This window comes from Homo sapiens, chromosome 4 (genome assembly GCF_000001405.40).
Source record: "Homo sapiens chromosome 4, GRCh38.p14 Primary Assembly".
Classification (NCBI taxonomy): domain Eukaryota; kingdom Metazoa; phylum Chordata; class Mammalia; order Primates; family Hominidae; genus Homo; species Homo sapiens.
The window spans coordinates 185,130,889-185,153,499 of record NC_000004.12 but is presented as its reverse complement, the minus strand read 5'-3'; the positions used below and the strand labels follow the sequence as shown (position 1 = coordinate 185,153,499).

The window sequence follows — 22,611 nt, the reverse complement described above, 5'->3', positions numbered from 1 at the left end:
TGGCCTGAAGATTCCTTTTTCGGTTGTATCTCTGCCAGATTTTGGTATCAGGCTGATGCTGGCTTCATAGAATGAGTTGGGGAGGATCCCTTCCTCCTTGATTTTTTTTTTTTTTGGAATAGTTTCAGCAGGATTAGTACTAGTTCTTTTTTGTATGTCTGGTAGAATTTGGCTGTGAATCCATCTTTTGCAGGGCTTTTTTTGAATTTTTATTTTTGGTAACGGATTCTATTTCAGAGCTTGATATTGGTCTATTCAAGGTTTTAGCCTCTTCCTGATTCAATCTTGGGAGATTGTATGTTTCCAAGAATTTATCCATTTCCTCTAGATTTTAAATTTTGTGTGCATAGTTACTCATAGTATTCTCTGAGGATCTTTTGTATTTCCGTGGGATGAGTTGTAACAACATCTTTGTCATTTCTGATTATACTTATTTGGATCTTTCTTCTTTGTTAATCTAGCTAGCAGTCTATTAATCTTGTTTATTTTTTTCAAAGAACTCTTGGTTTCACTGATCTTTTGTATGGGTTTTGTTTTGTTTTTTGAGACAGGGTCTCACTCTGTTCCCCAGGCTGGAGTGCAATGGCGCGATCTCGTCTCACTGCAACTTCTGCCTCCCAGGCTCAAGCAATCCTCCCTCCTCAGCCTCCCAAGTAGCTGGGACTACAGGTGCACGCCACCATGCCAGGATGGTTTTTGTATTTTAGTAGAGATGGGGTTTTGCCATGTTGGCCAGGCTAGTCTCAAACTTCTGGCCTCAAGTGATCTGCAGTGTTGGCCTCCCAAAGTGCTGGTATTACAGGTGGGAGCCACTGTACCCGGCTTTTGTATGGATTTTTGTCTCAATTTCATTCTCTAATTTTAGTTATTATTTAGTGCTTCTCTAATTTTAGTTATTATTTTCTTCTGCTAGCTTTGGGATTGTTTTCTTTTTTTCCCCCTAGATCCTTTAGATGCAAAGTTAGATTGTTAATTTGAGATCTAACTTCTCGATGAAGGCATTTAGCACTATAAACTTTCCTCTTTTTTTTTTTTTTGAGACAGAAGTGTTGTGGATTTTCAATATTTTCAGATTTTGGAATATGTGCATATACATAATGAGATGCCTTGGGGATGGGACCCAAGTCTAAACATGGAATTAATTTATGTTTCATATACTCAGTATACACATAGCCTGAAGGTAATTAATACAGTATTTTTAATAATTGCGTGCATGAAATAAAGTTTTGACTGTGACCCATCACAAGGTCAAATGTGGAATTTTCTACCTGTGGCACTATGTCAATGCTCAAAAAGTTTTGGATTTTAGACCATTTTGGTTTTCAGATTTTTGGATTAGGGATCAAGAATGAAAATTGTTTTTCCCAAGTGCTGCCTCTTGACTTCAGTTGCAGTGAACGTATTGTTATTTTTCCCTCAAACACGAAGGCATAAAACCTTGGCATTCTCACTGATTAACACTTTTTTTTTGCTTTAGATGGAGTCTTGTTCTGTCTCCAGGCCGGAGTGCAGTGGTGCGATCTCAGCTCACTGCAACCTCCGCCTCCCAGGTTCAAGCGATTCTCCTGCCTCAGCCTCCTGAGTTGCTGCGACTGCAGGCGCCCGCCACCATGCCCAGCTAATTTTTGTATTTTTAGTAGAGATGGGGTTTCACCATGTTGGCCAGGATGGTCTCGATCTCCTGACCTTGTGATCCACCCGCCTCGGCCTCCCAAAGTGCTGGGATTACAGGTGTGAGCCATCGCACCCGGCCTGATTAACATTTTTCTTCCATGTCTGTATCATGTCCTGTCTGTTCTTCAAAACACATTACTTATTTTCACTGCCATCATTCTAATCCATGCCTTCATCACATCACATTTGCATTACTAAAATAAGCTTTTAGCTAGAAAAAGCTGATGAAACACTGACTTAAGATTATATGTTATGTGGTTTGTTACTTAAGTCACGTCTCACATATTTTTAGTCTGTTTTACTTCCCTAATAAAAGAATGCCCCTGAGAGCAAGGACCATATGAAGCTTTTGCATTGGTTATGGCATTCAGGCTGATGGGAAGCCATACATGGGTGTCATTCAATATGTGTGATTCATCAGTGACTGCAAAAATGGCAAAACTAAACTCATCTAATCTTCAAAGGGCTATGAAAATTAACATGACTATGTAGAACACACAAAAATTACACACAAGATGTTTTATGTGAGACACGTTATAGGTATTTTGTTGTTGTTGTTTAGGGATAGATCTCACCCTGTAACCCAGGCTGGAAATCAGTGGTACGATCATAGCTCACTGCAGCCTCCCTCCTCAGCCTCCTGAGTAGCTAAGACCACAGGCGTGTATCACCACACCCACCTAATTTCTTATTTTTTGTAGAGACAAGGTCTCCTTATGTTGCCCAGGCTGGTCTTTCTATAATGTTTATGACTTCAAAAATGGTAAGACAGCTGATTCCCATTATTCATGGAGGTTATATACTACAAAGTTGAGGCAAACACTGAAACATTTTGCCAAGGGGAAATACAAGGTTAGGTTCCCATGAGCTGCTGGTCACAAAAATCATACATAACCTTGTTTTATGTGTTTATACTTAAAGACACCTTATTTAATATATATTGCTGATCATTAACACTGAGCTCATGGCCCAGGCCTGAAGACAGCTGATCTGACACATGTGTTTTCCACAAGGCATGTCTTAGCCCTCCTGTGCTGAGGAACAGCATTCTGCTTGGGGGCCATGTTAATTGGCAATGATTGTGCCTTGGATAAACTGCATTTTGGCCACTGCACAAAGCTTGAGGGCCTTTTTAAACAGCAGAATTTCTGTAGCACGAAGTAAACATGTGAACAGGATGCTTGTTTACAGGATGAGGCTGAAATGAAAAGGCGGGGTAAGTGTCACCTTGTTCCACTGCAGCTAGGGATGTGTGTCAGGCAACTTGAGTTTGTCATCATTCTGTGTGTCCAAGGACCTTAAAGTGGTTACAAATGAAGTTTGGCAGTGAAGCCAGTTTACAGATATGTAATCTGTGAATGAGATCAACTGTACTTTATTGTGGATTGATAAAATCTCTGATATTGAGGAGGAGCAGAAAAGCAAAGAATTTGTGACACGGTAGACTTTGTTAAATTTTATTTAAGGGCTTGACATTTGCATTTAAGGCAGCCGTAAGTTTTTATTCATTGCATTATACGACTCCAACAAGCCTGTCCAGCCACCCCCATGGTGCTTTGCACGTTCAAGATTTCACCCGAACTGATGAAACCCTTTCCCAAATATTTTGTAGGTTCCCTGTGCTTTTTAGATGCACTTTCCCTTCTCGCTCACTCTTCCATTCAGCAGAAACTTGCTAAACACCTTCTCTGTCCTGGGCACTGTACCAGGTGTGGAAGATAAGCTCGCCTTGCGGCGCTCGATTCTCTTGCAGCCTTGCACCTTGGGGGTGTTTAGTAAATGCCGCCTCAACACAAAGGATGCCACATATTTTACAGAATAAAATGGAACGGGAGCAGTCGCCCAGTTAATTGAGATTTCAACACAAATACTTGAGACAAGTTTTCATTGTTTTTAGTGTCCAATTATTACCATTATGGACTCACTCATCTTGCATCATCCTCCATAATTTTTCTCATACATTTAAAATACAAAATAAGGTCTTAAAAAGATGTAAAATGCCAACAGGTGAGGCTTTAGGGGAGAAAATACCTAAAGGTGATTGGGGTGGGGGTGGTGGTGGTGAAGGAGGGCTGCGCCTAGGAGAGAGCTGTGTGGGAAATGGGGCTGATGAGAAATGCCTGGGGCAGGTACCCGAGAGTCGGACGCTCAATTCCAACTTGTCACTTTTACGTAAACCAGACCTTCCAGCATGAGGCAGCTTTGCACAATGATGGTATGGCGTGCGGGTAGGTTAGTGAGGGAAGTACTGCCTGTTCTCCCGCCAGATCCCAGCACTCTCAGAGGCTGAGGGTTCTAGGAATTCATGGTGAGTTAAGTAGCTGCGGTGAGGAACTAGCTCAGCAGGGCCTGGGGCAACGTGCATTAGAGGTAACCTTCGCAGGAAGCGGAAGGGCTGACATCTGGGTCACATGCAGAGAATGTAGATAATGTGCACTATGTAATAAATGTCCATGCCTCTTCCCTCCCCATTCCATGCCAGGGTTAAAGACGGAACACAATTACACTTCTTGGTTGGGTTGGGAGGACGCACTGTTCATTCATTGTATCAGGTCTTCCTCCTCCTAAACTTGGGCCCTGCTTGGAGATACGCTCCATCAAAGCACTTGCCCACTACTAGCCTGCCCTGCTTTTATTCCCTATCAGCAATAGAGTTTGGATCACTTAGAACGAAAAGCAACAGGAGGACAATGGATCCAGGAGGCCTCTTAACTGCACATGTGCTGCCTGGCCTCGAGGAGACAGGATGGAGAGGTACCTTCTTTTTAGCCCTTTAGACTTTATTGGCCTAGATATCTACCAGGTGAGGTCAGATGTGATCCTGGATTTTATAAAACTCAGACCTTGGTAACTGTGGTAAAAGCAACACAGCCAATTTTTAGCTGGGGAGGCAGGAGTGAGTCGGTGGAAGGGCTTGGTAAGCAAGGTAAAGAACAGGAGGTACAGAGACCAACCCCCACCACCCAACCACCTGTCAGAAAACACAGAGAAGACATTTGCCTGCCTTTCAAGCTTTGCCAAGGATACAGGGACTTGCTTCCTCCAGATTAGTCACAATCCAGGAGACTATAGCAACTGCTTGGTCTTTTCCTGGTCCAAGTGTGAACTTTCCAACCTGATAGTCTAAGTATTTTCCTCTGGCTCGCAAATCTCGGAGGAGCAAATCCAAAACTGACTTCCTGTAGGTCTTGATAAATTGTTACAGAAGTACTGGAGGATGCTTTCTATACCCATGTTTCTAAATCTGGTTATTTTCTTTCAAAGCCTCCATCTCCTACCACTCCCTCCCCCCATTTCATTTCCCTTCTATTCCTTCTCAAGCAAGATGTATTGTCTTAAACAAATTGTCTAACAATGGAATTTCACCTTTTCTCCCCAACTGAAGCATCTTTCAGGGCAGGTTCCTATCTATTTTCCCTTCCACGGGGCCTAAGAGGTATTAAATACTAGCTTGATAAGTGATGCTATGGACTGAATGTTTGTGTCCCTTCAAAATTCATCTGTTGAAATCTTAACCCCCAAAGTGGTGGTGTTTGGAGGAGGGGCATTTGGGAGGTAATTGGGTCATGAGGGTAGGGCCCTCATGAATGGGATTAGTGAGCTTATAAAAGGGACTACAGAGAGCTCTGTCGCTCTTTCTGCCATGTAAGGATACAAGAAGTCCGTAGTTTATAACCCAGAAGAGGGCCCTCATCAGAACCTGACCACAGTGTCACCTTGATCTTGGACCTCCAGACTACAGAACTGAGAAATAAGTTTCTGTTGCTTATAAGCCATCAGTCTACAGTACCTTGTTATAGTAGCTTAAACTAAGACAACTGATTTTCTTTCTTTTTTTTTTTTTTGAGACAGAGTCTTGCCCTGTCGCTTAGGATGGATGTGGTGGCATGCCATCTCAGCTCACTGCAACCTCTGCCTCTCGGGTTCAAGTGATTCTGATGCCTCAGCCTCCTGAGTAGTTGGGATTACAGGTGTGCGCCACCACACCCAGCTAATTTTTTGTATTTTTATTAGAGATGGGGTTTCGCTCGGTTGGCCAGGCTGGTCTCAAACTCCTGGCCTGAAGTGATACGCCCACCTCTGCCTCCCAAAGTGCTGGGGTGACAGGTGTGAGCCACTGCACCTGGCCTTGATTTTCAATGAATACTCTCTACTTAACATAAAATTCTAGGTGTCACAGTTATCTAAAGGGATGAAAACAGAGCACTTCCTAATCATAGAAAATTCTCCAGATTGTGATTTAAAACTTTTAGCAGAATCTTAGAATTTCTAAAGACTGCAGGAAAGTGCCTAAGACAAGGCAGGATTATGAAAGCCATTATCACTTTCTAGCCTACAGTAATGCTGGATAAGATAGATAGAATATGACCTGCCTAAGTTTGAAAACCGGAACTTTAAGCATTGTACGTTCTCATATAATACATTCTCAATATAATATCTGGCATTTAGAAGCTTGGCTGCTGACTGATACATGAATCATGCTAGAAAATATGCATTTTTGATCTTTTAAAAATGCATTTTACAGTTAATAAGAGTTCAATAAAATAGAAAGCGTGCATTAAGTGGTCTTTATTGATGTTTCACATTCAGTTATTATCAATTCTTCAGTTAATTGTACAAGTATGATAAATTATTTTCTATTTGCTGTGGGAATTTAAATGTAAAATAAATACAAAATACATGTGTGGTTTAATGAACACTCAATGAAGCATCTCTTCTGAGGTATTCCTTTCAGTCTGGTTTTATCCCAGATCTTTTTACTTCCCCTAGGAATAGTCTATTAAACCACACAATGGATCTGTGAACTTGTAGATCAAGTTCACTGTAAATCTGTGAACTTGTGTTTTAATTACATTAGACATATTTTTTGATCTCATCATACAACACCAATACAAAAGCACCGCCCATGCCTCTCAGCACATTGGACCAGGCACCTTTGAAGAAGGCCTTGGCTCCTTCGTCTTTTGCAATCTTCCTCCAGCAGTCAACTGTCCCCGTGTACATAATATCGGCTGTGGAAACAAATGCTGGTGAGGGCTCCGTAACGCTGGAGGAAAGAGACTTTTCCCCTGAAACATATCTGTACACACTGTTACCAGTTTTATAAAATCAGGGTCATCTGGGCATGGAGTCCCAGCTCCATGCAACATCCCACTGGACATCTCCTTCCTTGCTTCACTGGCAGGCTGGGTCTCCTGTCATTCCTACTCCATTAGTTCAAGGTCAGTGAAGAACTGGGGCAATTAACCAAGTAATTCATGGACTGCCCAACTGCGAAACAAGAAGGGCGCAGTGGAGCAGGAGTATTATGCTACGCGGTTACCTTTTTTTATGGAGGACCGAACTGAGGCCGAGCCTCAGATGATCCTGCACGAGGTTATGCAGTCTAAATAAAAGGCTGTAACTATTCGTTGAAACATACGAAACTGCTAACATTGGACTGTTTTTGACTTTTAAAGTGGCAATTTCGTATGGTTCAACCTATAGAAGCCAAAACTTTCTCTGGCACAACAGATTGCTTCAGGCCATCTCTACCCAGCTAAACACCCCATCCCACTAACACCTGTAACTAGGAGGGAAGCAAGAGTTCTTTGTAAGAAGTAGCTAACTACTTCTTTTCCCTAGCTTTTGCACCCAGGCTCTAAGGGAAGAGGGCCTAGGGTCTCTATAATGCTGGATACCTAGTTAAATTCACATCTAAATGTCTTACTATTCATGTTCTTATCATCTCTAATAAAATGGAAAATACTTTTCCCTAATAGGATAGTTGAGAACGTTAGGGGGAATTAATACCATCTTTCTTCCCTAAGTCCTTATCAAATAATTTTGAAAATTAATTTCCAGTAAGGAAGACTGAAAGGAGCCCTGTAAAATGTTCTCCTCGGGCAAAACCAAACAAGTTTAGATGAGTAGAGCACAAGCTTACCCCCTTTCCGGCCGGACTGCATCATCATTCTACGACGAACAGTGTCAAAGGGGTAGGACACCAGCCCTGCGACTGCCGTCACACTCTGGGCAATCATCCAGCTCACAAAAATGTGCACGTTCTTGGGGTCAGGCAGCATCCCTGTGGACAGAGCCCAGAAGCCGAACGGCTATGAAGTGCCTGTTCTCAGCAGAAAGCAGGTGGAGGGAGAGAGGCCACTGCACCTCCAGCTCCATGCTCTGACCTTGCGGGGAACCTGCCCCTGTGCAGGTGCTTCACATATGACCAGGCAGACAGCAAAGGTGGCTGCTGCCCTCTCCGGACCCCGGAGGGGCAGTGCTCAGCTTGTATACAGGGCATTGGAAGTGGCTTCAAGTTAAACTCAGTAACTGCTATGGCTGTGTCTAGAGGGAGACAGGCTCCCCCCTCCTCCTCTCTGAATAACTAAAGGCCAGAGTTTATTTCAGTAGAGGACACAAGGAACGCTTCAGCTATTAACTTATGCACATCACCTCCTCATTCAGAAGCCTCAATTATCCCAGAGACTAGAAAAAACAAGATCAATATATATCAGGTCCTTTGTGAGTTATAGATCCCATAGGATCCTCTTTCCACACCACCCTCCTTCTCCCCGATGCCCCTCTCTCACCCTTGGCAGTATCATAGACTCCGAAGTAGGCAGCTCTATAGATAATGATGCCTTGGACAGAGACGTTGAAACCCTGGTAGAGCCCCCTCAGGCCATCAGACTTGAAGATCTTGATGATACAGTCGCCCAGACCATGGAACTCACGCTGGGCGGCGCCCTTGCCCACATCAGCAGCCAACCTGGTCCTAGCAAAGTCCAGCGGGTAGACAAAGCAAAGGGAGGTGGCCCCAGCGGCCCCACCGGACGCCAGGTTACCAGCAAAGTAGCGCCAGAACTGCTTATGCCGATCCACACCCCCTAAGAAGAGCTGCTTGTACTTGTCCTTGAAGGCGAAGTTGAGAGCTTGGGTGGGGAAGTAACGGATCACGTTGGCCAGGTTACCCCTCCAGAAGGAGAGGAAGCCCTGCTCCTTAGGGATTCTCACCACACAATCAATGATCCCTTTGTACTGCTTCTCAGCACTGATCTGTTTGCTGGCATGCTGGACCTGGTGGAGGGGAGGGTGGGTGACAGAGGACAGGCAGGGTAGAGAGAAGGGAAGAGGACAGGAGAAAAAAAAAGGTTTGCACTTCCTAGATTTTTTTTTTGAAGAAAAAAAGGATGAGGAAATCAAATGGATACTGAGGACGTGTAAATGGATACTGTTATCCATGTTAGTTACTGGATAACAAGCCAAAATAATCCAATGTTGCTTCAATTATTAGGGTATTTGAGGGAAAAGGTATTGCCCCAAATAAACTGAAAAGGTGATTGAATTATATAAAGCTATAGCCATTTATTTATTTCACTTTCCCTAGGTTTGAGAACTGTATGAGGGGCTTACTGGGGGACAGAAATGAGTAACACTCCCTGCTTCAAAGGGCTTTGGATTTAATAGACATGATGGCCAAAAAATGACAATTTCTCAGTGTCACTCTGATCACCCTGGAGATGAGGATCTCTACTAGATGCTCTAATAGAGGAAGGAGAATAAATCCACTAAACATTAGGCCTCCAAAGTTTTCAAGCAGATAATCCAAGTAATCAATTATTAAGGGTTTGCTGCCGTTGTGAGCAATTTGTGGGGGTTTTGTTGTTAGTAATTCTGACTCCCAAATTGGGCTCTTCCTCATTGAGGGGCCCTGACCTTTTGGGCAGGTGGAGGAAAACACGAGAGGATGATAAACCATTCAGCGACCAGGTAGGGGAGGAAAAGATTTGGAGACAGGATGATCTGAGTTTATTCCGAAAATTGTTTCTTAATATTTCAAAACCTCAGCTTCATCTGTAAAATGGAGAAGAATAACTCTCTCACAGAGGTTACATAAAGATGAAGGCGTCAGCCTACATACAGCATTGTGCATGAGATACGATAAGGGAATTCTTGGGTGATGATTATTTTGATGTTTTTATTGTAAAGGTGCGTGCGCATAAGACGGTGCCAAAAATACTGGCAATCACTAGGTGCCTCCGGGCCTGAGTGCACGCCCGTGCTGTCACGGGCGCAGGATCTGGCACACGTAAACCGGCTCCGGGTGGGTTTCCATATATAGACACCCGAACGCCGGGCGCCACCCGACACCAGGAATCTGCGACTGACGCTGGACCTGTCTCTACGCAGAGGGCACCTTCTTCCCCCGCGGGCGGGCGGGCGGGCGGGCGGGCGCCCGGGCCTGTGGCCTGGCGCAGATTTTCCGCGGCGCCCCGCGCCCTGCAGCTCGCGCCGCATCGCGCGCCCCGCCCGGCCCGCCGCGCCCGCGCCCGCCTCTTGCACCGCGCGGTCCTCACCTGCAGCAGCAGTTTGACCCTCTCGATGGGGGCGACCGCGGTCTTGGAGACGGCAGCGGCGACGCCCCCGGCCAGGAAGTCCTTTAGGAAGCTCCAAGCGTGATCACCCATGGTGACAGCTCGACGCTCTCAGCCCGCAGGCAGCCCGTTCGTGCTCTCGCCCACGCCCGGCCTGGCACCGCCGCGCAGTCCCCGACCCTGCGCGACGCTAGGGGGCCGCCGCCTGGCCCGCAGCTCCCCCTTATATCCCCGCCGGGCTCTCGCGAGAGGAGGCGGGTCGCGGCCGGCGCTCGCGCCGCGCATTGGCTGGGCAGGTGCGGGGCGCCCCCTCCTCCCAGCTGCAGAGGGCATCGGGGGCGAAGGCGCTTCCGGGAGCGAGGCTGGGCCGGGGGCTGTCCCTGCAACTTGGGACGTTTAAAGGGCACATTCATGTTATCTGTCCCGCCGAGCCCAGGGAACACCGTGTCACCGCGGCATGTGGGCCGCGTATTTATAGCACAGGCAGCCTTAGGCCGGGGCGAAGCCGGGGCAGACACCGGGCCGCTGCCGCCGGTGGAGAGTTCTTGACCCTCCGGCCTGCACGGGCCGCGCTCAGGCCCAGGGATTTCGAGCTGTTTCCTCCTTCTTGCATCTAAAGGCGCCCCCCACCAGAGCTCACTGCCTGGATATGGGCCTCTTTAGAGCCGTGCGCTCCCGAGAATAAATGGCAGTCCTCTCAAATAGATACTAAGGTCACCTGATGCTGTGATTGCCTCATAGAATCTGACAACCTGCTGCCTCTCATTTCTTTTCATTCAATCGTTCGTTCAGTCATTCATTCTGCTATTACATATTGATGTGTCTGGCACTCAGTGCCCACAGGAAAGACCTGGTGCAGGGGGCCACTAGGTGAATTCATACTTGTTTCTGCAAAACTCTGTGACTCTAAAACACAGGACACTTCTTTTGTAAGCCCCTAAAGGGTTCAATGTACCACTCTGCTCTCAGCGGAATTTCAGCACATATTAGGGCAGAATGTTCTGTCTGTCAGCCGGTGCCTTCTTGAGGGTCAGTGCTGTCAGCCTTCCGGAGATCCAGTCCTTGGCTGTATTTGCCTCTTTTTAATGACAGCTGGGGTTGAGGAAATGCTATTTAATCCCAGGAAATTAATTGCAATTAATTTCTTAAAATATATAAATCTGAGCTTTAATTTTCCTTAGCTTGTTTTTTAGGCAGTTCATGTAACCATACAGGTTTTCAAATACAACTGTTCCTTCCCCTAGAATGACTGCAATTCGTTTTTAACTTTAAACTCTTCACTCAATTATCTTCCCATGTTTGCTAATTTTCATTTGTACCTTTAACAAAGTTTATTCATTGTTTTATAAACTTTTTTTTTTTAATATTTGCTGACATCATGTTAGAGGTTTACGGAGCTGCAGCTGCGTGTCACCCTGGGCGTGGAGACTTTGGTATAGCAGAAGTCACTAAGGTTCCAGGGCCACAGAGGGCATGCGTTTATCTAAGAGTGGGGCAGGCTAGAGTTCCGAAATCCAGGTAAGCAGAATGAAAGCTAGAAACTAGTGGAAAGCTGCCAGAGGTCAGAGCAGACAGAAGTCAAGAACTCGGAAGAGACAAACAGATAAACCATGTATGTGTTCATTCAACAGACTCTTGCTGAGCATGTACTGTGTACCAAGAACTAGGTGTAGCCCTGTGGATTGAATATAAGTAGACGTGGCCCATCTCCAAAGACCTTACAGTTCAGTGTATTCGTCACTTGCTCCACTTTATCAAAACTTCACTTACTGATTTCCATGGATCAGCATAATCCACACAGTAAACCTTTTTAATTATAATAGTGTACTGTATCCCATCCTGTAATATAGAGCACTTGCTTTTATACCTCCATTTTCCTTTTAATTGTGCATTAGAATTGTGTCTTATTTTTATGATGAAAAATAGGCCGGGTGTGGTGGCTCATACCTTTGGGAGGCTGAGGCTGGCAGATTACCTAGGTCAGGAGTTCGAGACCAGCCTGGCCAACATGGCAAAACCCCATCTCTACTAAAAATACAAAAATTAGCCTGGCGTGATGGCTCATGCCTGGAATCCCAGCAGCTCAGGAGGCTCAGGCACGAGACCCCCGAGAGGCAGAGGTCATGGTGATCTGAGATCACTCCACTGCACTTCAGCCTGGGCAACAGAGAAAGACTCTGACTCAAAAAAAAAAAAAGAAAGAAAGAAAGAAAGAAAGGAAGGAAGGAAGGAAGGAAGGAAGGAAGGAAGGAAAACTAATACTGCTACATTGAAACTTACACAAACTTCATTTTCTCCTCTAAGTTTTTTCTTCTCATATATTTCCCAAATGGAATGGATAGATTTAAGATTTTTAAAGTTTTGTAGCTTTTGCTACATATTGACAAATTGCTCTTCAGAAATACCAACCCACCAGTTATATAGATGGGCTTTCTCTCACACTCTTCTCCAACACTGGCTTTAAAAAAATAGAGAGTTGGTTATTTGTGAGTTATTTATGAGTTTTAGTTTGTATTTACTTAATTACTATGAAGCTGTATATATTCCATATGATTCAATTTAATTTGACAGTTTGACAAGGTTTCCCTTTTGTATAAACTTTTAATCTTCCTTGACTACTGCTGGAGTGAAAGCAGAGTATTTATATTAACAACAATTCTTTATATATTTGGGACAATAAATATGTGTTGAATGTTTTTCATTTTGTTGTTTTCCTTTTGATATTTATTATATCATTCTATTAGTGTTATGAACAGATCTATGGTATGATGATGATCTATTTCATGTTCTGATGTAAATGTATCTCTTTTATAGATATAGCAGTCTATTTACTCTAGTACATATATCAGTTTTTTTCTTCTACTTTGAGTAGCTATTTTTAAAATGTCTAACACTACGTTTTATATTGTATGGAGGTATGGGTCTAATTTCACTTTTCTCCATATCATGCTTGGGTATCCCAATACTAATTCTTAAGTAGATATTTTCTTCTCTCCATTATTTGTCTTATATTACTAAGTCTAGTTTGTCATATATTAAGTTCTCATAATAGCTTTAATTTATGAAATATCCACACTATGACATATTTATTTGATCTTCATTTTTTAAAAATAGGCTGATATATGATTCTACAATCACTTAAAAAATAAAGTTTTATCTGCTTATGTGTCTGGATTTATTTTTACTATCAAGTTGTTCAATTGTTTAAACATCACCAGAAGATTTTAAATAGACATTTAAACTAAATTAAATATTAATTAATATATGAATTCAGGAAGTAGTATCATCTTTGTTACACTTAATTTTACCAATCAGAGTTTTGGATATTTTCTAAATGGGAGATATATTTCTCCTTGGCTACTCTCCAGTTATCCTGTTCTATAGAAGGAGTCATAGCTGGAATCCTTGACAAGAGGTTTTCCATGGAAACTCATACACTGTCCTCTGCTTCCACGGACTTTCTCAGAAAAGAGAGGCCTTACATGCCCTCGGGAGCATGAGCTGCCTGTGGTCACAAGATCCTGGTATCACTTACACAGGCAGGGGAGAGAATGGCGCTCGGCAGAACATGTGTCCACCCGCCCAACCCAGTACTTAGTGGCTTTCTTCCAGCAGGAGAATGGACAAGGCATCTAGGAGATGAGAAGAAACTCTACTTTCAATCGTGGATGGGATCTTAGATGCTGGTGGGAACAGGGCCATGTAGAAATGAGAGCAGGGTGGAAAGTTAGCCTTTTGGAATTTTAGTGGAAGCTCTTATAGACTTAGTCTCTTACCAAACTGGGAATAGAGAATGGAAGTTGCTAAAGAGTAAGAGTGACAAGGAATAAAGAAAAACAATAAAGGATGTGCTAATGGTGGTGATAACATAATGCCTGTGTGCAAGTGTACATTTAAAGTATTAGGAATTAGAACACACTACTAGTGTTTGTTCACATGGTAAGTTTCAGCATTAAGCGAAGAGGATCAAGATATTTATATGTGCATTTATTTATTTATTTATTTTAGAGACAGCATCTTGCTTTGTCACCCTGGCTGGAGCACGGTGGCACAATCACAGATCACTGAAACCATGCACTCCTAGGCACAAGGGATCCTCCTGCTTCAGCCTCCTGAGTAGCTGAGGCTACAGGCACATACCATCATGCCCGGATATATATATTTTTTAATTTGCAGGTTTTGCTGTGGTCTCCTGGTTTTGCTATGTTGCCCAGGCTATGTGGAGAAGCTTACATGCCAGGAACAGACATAGCTGTGGTGCCTACAGGCAATTCCAACGCAGCCTGGCAAGGACAAGGACCCAAGAGGGGGTTCTGGTTGTACTTCCAGCAGAGTGACTTTCAGTGTGTTGCCTCCACCGGAACTTGTACTTTTTACGTTTTATGAATGTTCGTGAAACAAAAAGTTTTGTTAGAAGGATTTGGCGCCTTATTATTTAAAGGAGGTGATTTGAGGGGGCAGAGGAGCCCTTGAATCATAGAAAAGACAGAGGGACTTCTCCTAGAAGGCACTCTGCTTCCGGGGGAAACTGATTCAGGTTGGCCTCTTGGTTGCTGGAGGCAGGGAGGCCTGGGGGACCCCCGTAGCACACCCCTGATAGACACAGGCGGACCCCGTGCACTTCCCAGACAGATTCAGAACCTTTCTTTTCCCACTTCCAATCTTAGCACCTCTCTTTACTTTGTTGAAGAGTCCAACAAGCACATTGAGTATCATACAACACAACGAAGCTAATGTTTATGCTTGCATAATAATGCCTTCCGACCATAACCACACACCTTCCAGGCTGGCATCTTCCAGTTTTGCCCACGGGCAACCTCTGTGAATAAAACCGTTACTCACCTGGAGCTGACTGGGTCCATTTTCTAAACACATTTTGAACTAGTGTTTTGTGTTTCACATATCCTATCAATCATTTTTAAAAACATGCTTTATTTCTATTATTAAAATCAGTAGGCAACAAATGTTATCAGAGACTATTTTTTATCATCTGTACTACTGAAGAACAATATTTTGCTATTTTAATGAATAAGGGTTTTCTTCCATATGCGTTCTTTTACCTCATGACCCTTTCCTCATAGTCAGCTAGACGTTCTGTGTCACTGCCACAGGAAAAAGAAAACATTCAGGAAGCAGAGGAAGTAAGAGTCTATTCTCGGCATTAGAATTTCCAAAGGAAGAGAAAAAACTCAAGCCCAGTGGACTTCGTAGAATACTTGAGGGAAAACAAAAAGCTTTCTGCACACAGCCGGGCACGGTGGCTCACGCCTGTAATCCCAGCATTTTGGGAGGCCGAGGCGGGCGGATCACCTGAGGTCAGGAGTTCGAGACCAGCCTGACCAACATGGAGCAACCCCGTCTCTACTAAAAATACAAAATTAGCCGGGCGTGGTGGCGCATGCCTGTAATCCCAGCTACTCGGGAGGCTGAGGCAGGAGAATCACTTGAACCCGGGAGGCGGAGGCTGTGGTGAGCGGAGATCACGCCACTGCACTCCAGCCTGGGCAACAAGAGCGAAAACTCCATCTCCATAAAAACAAAAAACTTCCTGCTCAGCTACTCTTACAAAGATTATATGAAGTTTTCCCAAACCTGGAGAGAAAGGAAGAAAGTTAGAGAGAAAGCAAAGAATGTGAGGCTCGTGTGGATCCCTGGGAAGGAGGGGCCTGTATTCTGCGCAGCCCAGGGAGGCACAGATGCAGGGGAAGAAACGGCCGGGCGGTGTTTCAGCACACAGGGCAGAGGCAGCCTTGCAGGGTTGATCCAAGTGCAATGAGGGAGACGGAGAACAGATCCCTGGTACCTGAGGGATTTGCTTGTGTCCATAGTCCGCAAAATGAAGGCAGCCTGCTGGAGTGAAGGTCCCTAGAGAGCCCCGTTCAGCTTTTCCTGCTCTTAATGTCTCCAATGTGGCGCAGGAGCAGCAGAATAACGTTTCCTTTTCAAGGCCACCACAGTCCGCTGACAGCAAGCCAGGCCTGAAGAGCCTCAGGGTTGGAAGAAAGGAAAGTGTGACCTTGAAAGAACACCCTTGATGGAGCACAGACTGAAGACCGGAAGCGAATGCGGGCCAGGCCGCGGGTGCCAGCACGGCCAGATGAAGACCCGGACCACGCGCCCCTCTCCTCGCCTTCTTAGTCATCCATGGGACAGCAGTGGAGAGAAACGGGGACCCGGATTATTTCCACCGCTTGACAGAATGGAGTCTGAATAGAAATTAAGTTGCCTTGCCCAGCTGAGTTTGTGGACCAATATTTGTACTTACTGTATTTTTTTCTTATTTTTGAAAAACAATATAACCGAAGACATCAGAATTTTGGAAACTCATTACTGTTCCTTGTTCTAGCAAGCACATTTCTTTAAGAAAGAGACTGAGATTTAACTGTGTGTGTGTGTGTGTGTGCGCCAGGCGCATTTGGGGGGGGCACTTCAGGGTGGTTTTCTCTATAAATCTTTGTGAAATTGGCTTATGAAGCCGGGCGCGGTGGCTCACACCTGTAATCTCAGCACTTTGGAAGGCTGAGGGGGGCGGATTGCCTGAGCTCAGTAGTTGGAGACCGGCTTGGGCAGTGTGGAAAACCCCATCTCTAAAAACAAAAATACAAAAATGATCCGGGTATGATGGTGCGCCTGTAGTCCCAGCTACTTGGGCTACTTGTGGGGGCTGAGGCGGGAGAATCGCTTGAGCCCAGGAGATGGAGGCTGCAGTGAGCCGTGTTCACGCCACTGTACTCCTGCGTGACAGACGGAGACCCCATCTCTCAACAAAAAAAAGCTTATGAACTACGAATTTATATTAAATAGCTAAACTAAGTACAGCAACTGACTCCTTTAATGTGTAAACTTTACGCCTTCAACACAACACAATAGTCTTTCAGTAACCGCTTGTGGAATGAATAGGAAAATAATGCACTTTAATATCTAGGTCAATGGTTCTCAGATTTCTCCAATGAGGGAGCACCTGGAACCCGCCATCATTTTTGTGCAGCACTGTGAAATGTAGGTATATGGAATTTCATCATATAAATGAAGAGCAGTTATACTAGCAGAAATGTGATCTTCTGTTATGTGTCTGCCTGCCATATAAAACAATAGTCATTTTAATGGTAGATTTATCAATTTCTCCCTGAGGTCTGTTGAATTTTCCTTTATATATTTCAAGCCTTTTGTTTTTAAAGGCATGCAAGGGCCAGGCGCGGTGAGCCTGTAATCCCAGCACTTTGGGAGGCCGTGGCAGGTGGATCCCTTGAGGTCAGCAGTTTGAGACCAGCCTGGCCAACATGGTGAAACTCCATCTCTACCAAAAATACAAAAATTAGCCAGGCATGGTGGCAGGCACCTTTAAATCCCAGCTACTCGGGAGGCTGAGGCAGGAGAATCGCTTGAACCCAGGAGGCGGAGGTTGCAGTGAGCCAAGATCGCATCACTGCACTCCAGCCTGGGTGACAAAGTGAGACCTTGTCTCAAAATAAATAAATAAATAGGCCAGGCACATTGGCTCATTCCTGTAATCCCAGCACTTTGGGAGGCCAAGGCGGGCAGATCACTTGAGGTCAGGGGTTCGAGACCAGCCTGGCCAACATGGTAAAACCTCGTCTCTACTAAAAATACAAAAATCAGCTGGGTGTGGTGGTACATGCCTGTAGTCCCAACTACCAGGGAGGCTGAGGCAGGAGAATTGCTTGCATCTGGGAGGTGGAGGTTGCAGTGAGCCAACATAGCGCCACTGCACTCCCACCTGGGCTACAGAGTGAGATTCCATCTCAAATTAATTAATTAATTCATTAAAAATAAAAGCATACAATATTTGAATTGTTATATCTTTTTGGTGAATTTAACTTTTTATCATTAAGTTGTGGCCCTCTTTATCTGTAGTAATACCTTTTGCCTTAAAGTCTTCCACCCCACACACAAATTAATAGAGCTATTTGTTTTCCTTCGGTTTGTATTTGCCTAGTTTATATTTTTCTAACTCTTTACTTTCAACCATTCTGTATAAGTATATCCCCTGTAAACCTCTACGTTTTCTTTTTCCTTTTTTTTAGATGGAGTCTCGCTCTGTCGCCCAGGCTGTAGTACAGTGCTGTGATCTCGGCTCACTTCAACCTCTGCCTCCTAGATTCAAGCAATTCTCCTGCCTCAGCCTCAGCCTCCTGAGTAGCTGGGATTACAGGCACCCGCGACCACACCTGGCTAATTTTTGTAGTTTTAGTAGAGATGGGGTTTCACCATGTTGGCCAGGCTGGTCTTGAACCCCTGACCTCAGGTGATCTGCCCGCCTCAGCCTCTCAAAGTGCTGGGATTACAGGAATGTGTCACGTGCTCAGAAAAATTCTCATTATTTTACTATAGAGTTTGGATCCATTTTTCATTTATTATTACCACTGATATTCTTTAATTTTTATTTTGAAATAGATTCAAAAGAAGTTGCAAAGGAATGACTGCCCATATTTTAAAATTTTATTTCTGCCATTTTATTTTATACTTTTTATTTGTCCTCCTTCTACATGTCCTTGAAATTAATCGTTTCCATTGCTTATTTACCATAACTATCATATGCCAACTACTACATGTGTTTCTGAATTACATGTTAAAGGGCTAATGACACCGTAATTGTTATTAATTATTTTAGGTGGCTACTATTTTTCCAGGTTCCAAGGAGGCCAAGTTTCCCCCTCTTGGCTTATTTAGGCACTGAGTGTCTCTCAGGACTGTGATACCAGTTTATACACAGTTGCAGACAACAATGAAGTCAAATTAATAGTTCAATGTGCATAGCTTGCCGTGGAGAAGCTCAGCTCTGAAGAAATGCTTGCATTTCATAACATTATTCAATGTGGCCACTAGAGGGAGGTCACACATAGCTATTCTCAGAATAGTATTCTAAGTTTCTAATTTTTATCAAAGATCTGTCAATAGTACACAAAATTAAGGGAAAAAAACCCAAACCCTTTCTACTCTTAAGAAGACATACAGTGCAGTCTTAAAACAATAGGGGAAATAATTAAGTCAAAGCAGAGATTTTCAAATGGGGAAAATGAAGCAAGACCCAAGTATATGCTGCTGCAAGAAAGGCACTTGAACTATGAAGACACACATAGGTCAAAAGTAAAAAGATAGGCCGGGTGGGGTGGCTCATGCCTGTAATCCCAGCCCTTTAAGAGGCCAAGACAGGAGGATTGCTTGGGGCCAGGGGTTGGAGAGCAGCCTGGGCAACACAGTGAGGCCCCCTGTCTCTACACACACACACAAAAAGGAATGAACTCTTTTTGGGGAGGGGGGGGTGTTTCTTTTAAAAATTGTGGTAAAATACACATAATATTAAACTGACCTTTTTTTTTTTTTTTTTCAATTTTTTTTGAGACAGGGCCTTGCTGTTGTACTCCTGCCCAGGCTGGAGTACAGTGGTGTGATCACAGCTCACTGCAGCCTCAACCTACTGGGCTCAAGCAATACTCCAGCCTCAGCCTCTCCGGTAGCTGGGACCACAGGCATGCTCCACTATACCTGGCTAATTTTTATTTATTTATATTTTTTGTAGAGATGGGGTCTTGCTATGTTGCCTAGACTGGTTTTGAATCTTGGGCTCAACAATCTTCCCGCCTTGGCCTCTCAAAGTGCTGGGATTACAGGGATGAGCAACCATGTCTGGCTGAAATTGACCATTTTAACTTTTTTTTTTTTTGAGAAGGAGTCTCACTCTGTTGCCCAGGTTGGAGTGCAGTGGCATGATCTCGGCTCACTGCAACCTCCGCCTCCCAGGTTCAAGCAATTCTCCAGCCTCAGCCTCCCAAGTAGCTGGGATTGTAGGTGTGTGCCATCATGCCTGTCTAATTTTTGTATTTTCAATAGAGACAGGGCTTTACTATGTTGACCAGGCTGATCTCGAATTCCTGACCTCAAGTGATCTGCCCACCTCAGCCTTCCAAAGTGCTGGGATTATAGGCATGAGCCACCGCACCTGGCCCCATTTTAACAATTTTTAAGTGTACATTACAGCAGTGTTAAGTACATTCAGATTGTTGTACAATCCTCAGAACTCTTTTTATCTTGCAAAATTGAAACTCTGTACCCATTAAATAATTCCTTATTCCCCTATCCCTCCACCCCTGACAACCACCATTCCATTTTCTGTCTCCATGAATTTGACTTCTCTAGGTATCTCATATAAGAGGAATTATGCAGTATGTAATTTTGGGGCCTGGCATATTTCACTTAGCCTAATGTCCTTAAGGTTCATTCTATATGTTGCAGCATATGTTGGAATTTCCTTCCCTTTTAAGGTTGAATGTAGTATCGTATGTATGTATTGCATTCTGTTTATTCATACATCCATCCACTGACAGTGTTGCTTCTACCTTTTGGCTGTTGTGAATAATCCTGCCTATGCACGTGGGTGAAGAACATCTCTTTGAGATTTTTTTTTTTTTTTTTTTTTTTTTTGAGACAAAGAGTCTCGCTCTTTCGCCCAAGCCGGACTGCAGTGGCGCTATCTCTGCTCACTGCAAGCTCCGCCTCCCGGGCTCACGCCATTCTCCTGCCTCAGCCTCCCGAGTAGCTGGGACTACGGGCGCCTGCCACCACACCTGGCTAATTTTTAAAATATTTTTAGTAGAGACGGGATTTCACCGTGTTAGCCAGGATGGTCTCGATCTCCTGATATTGTAATCTGCCTGCCTCGGCCTCCCAAAGTGCTGGGATTACAGGCGTGAGCCACCGCGCCCGGCCGAGATCTTGCTTTCAATTCTTTTGGTTATATACCCAGAAGTGGAATTACTGGATCACATAATTCTATGTTCAATTTTGGAGAAACCCCCATACTGTGTTCCATAGTGGCTGTACCATTACACATTCACCAACAGCACATAAGGATTCCAATTTCTCCCCATCTTTACCAACCCGTTATTTTCTATTTTTTGATAGTAGCCATCCTAATGGGTGTCAAATGGTGGTTATATCAGTACTACCATGTCTAATGTAAAAATTATTTCTAATTGGGATTGCATTCAATTACAAGACTAATTTAAGGAGCATTTGTATTTTTATAATATTCAATATTTCTTTCCAAAGAAAACGGATATCCTTGTTGCTTTTATTCAGAGATGTTTTCTTTTATGGTGCTATTTTAAATAGTATACCCTCTTCTATTTATTTCTCCAAAGGAGTTGTTTGTATACAGAAAGACTTTTTTTTTAATACTTGAACTGAGTCATCTTAAAGAAGTCTGACATTATTGTTGCAACAGTTTTTCAATTGATTCCTTTGAGTTTTCCAGTTCAGAAATCAAATCACCTGTAAATAATGACCATTTTTACTTCTTTATAATTTGTGTTCCTTGGTTTTTTCTTTTGTGTAATTGCATCAGCCAATATCCTCAGAATAATTTTAAATAGTAGTGGAGATACTGATAGCCTGTATTTGTCCTCACTTTAGTTGTAATATTTTTAATGTTTCCTCATTAAATGTGATATTAGTTTTTAGCTATACATTGTTTCTTTGTGTGGCCATACCTTTAAAAACTATTGATTTTTATTCTCTTTTCTTAACCTTTTTTTAAATTGAGAATGGATTTTACACAATTTTTTTAAACAATTATAAAATTAACCATGAAAAAATTGATGAATTCGACTTCATTGAATTTTTATTTATCAAGTACACTCCGCATCAGTTGGCTGGGACCATTATAACAGAATACCATAGAGTGGGAGACTTAAACACCATATTTATTTTCTCACAGTTCTGGAAGCTAGAAGTCCAAGATCAAAATGTTGGCAGATTTGGTTTCCCCTGAGGCCTCTCTGCTTAACTTGCAGATGGCTGCCTTCCCTCTATTTTCATGGTCTGCCTTCCATGCGTGTCTGGGTTCTAATCTCTTCTTATAAGGGCCCCAATCATATTGGATTAGGGCCCACTCCAACAACCCATTTTAACTTAATTGCCTCCAAAGATAGTCATTTTCTGAGATACTGGGGATTTGGGCTTCAATAGATGGATTTTAGGGGGACACAATTCAGTTCATAATACACCATTCAGAGTGAAAAGGCAAACTACTGTAAACCAAAAATAAAATTTAACTACCCCTCCTCCTCCAACCTCGGGGCCTTCCTCTTTGGCCAGGGCACTTTTAACCTGAAAGAGTGGTTCAGGCCATGACAAGAAGTGGGGCTTCGACCCCTCCACCATTAACATCAACCTAAAGTCTGATAAGAAACATTTAGTCTGTTTCCTCTAAAGCCTGCTACCTGGAGGCTTTATCTGCATGATAAAACCTAGGTCTCCACAACCCCTTATCATAACCATTCCTTTCTATAGATAATAACTCTTTCAACCAATTGCCAATCAAAATAGGTTTATTTATTTATTGTTATTATTATTTGAGACAGGGCCTGTACTGCAGCCCAGGCTGGAGTGCAGTGGCACTATCTCTGCTCATTGCAGCCCCTGGCTCTCAGTTTAAGCAATTCTCATGCTTCAGCCTCCCGAGTAGCTGGGACCACAGGCGTGTGCCACCACACCCAGCTAATTTTTGTATTTTTAGTAGAGGCAGGGTTTCGCCATGTTGGCTAGCCTGGTCTGG

The 22,611-nt window shown here is 43.7% G+C and overlaps 1 protein-coding gene across 1 annotated transcript, besides 1 other annotated feature; it reads right to left on the bottom strand.

Moving 5' to 3' along the window:
- SLC25A4 (solute carrier family 25 member 4) lies at positions 3,118 to 10,234 on the bottom strand. Its single transcript, NM_001151.4, has 4 exons — positions 10,017 to 10,234; positions 8,250 to 8,736; positions 7,601 to 7,741; positions 3,118 to 6,686 (listed from the first exon to the last, which is right to left on the bottom strand). Exons 1-4 carry the CDS (start codon positions 10,125 to 10,127, stop codon positions 6,529 to 6,531), a joined length of 897 nt encoding a protein of 298 aa, NP_001142.2. The 5' UTR covers positions 10,128 to 10,234; the 3' UTR covers positions 3,118 to 6,528.
- Positions 10,163 to 10,462: a silencer, noted in NCBI's record as "silent region_15847". NCBI's record gives its function as "represses an Ori minimal core promoter by ATAC-STARR-seq in GM12878 lymphoblastoid cells {active_cell/tissue: GM12878}" and the evidence as "EXISTENCE:reporter gene assay evidence [ECO:0000049][PMID:35858748]".

Coding starts and splice junctions, on each gene's coding strand:
- SLC25A4 (NM_001151.4), bottom strand. CDS start 10,127: ATGGGTGATCACGCTTGGAGCTTCCTAAAGGACTTCCTGGCCGGGGGC. Junction 7,742..8,249: donor AGTCTATGATACTGCCAAGG/GTGAGAGAGGGG, acceptor CTCTGTCCACAG/GGATGCTGCCTGACCCCAAG. Junction 6,687..7,600: donor GCAGTCCGGCCGGAAAGGGG/GTAAGCTTGTGC, acceptor TTGTTTCCACAG/CCGATATTATGTACACGGGG.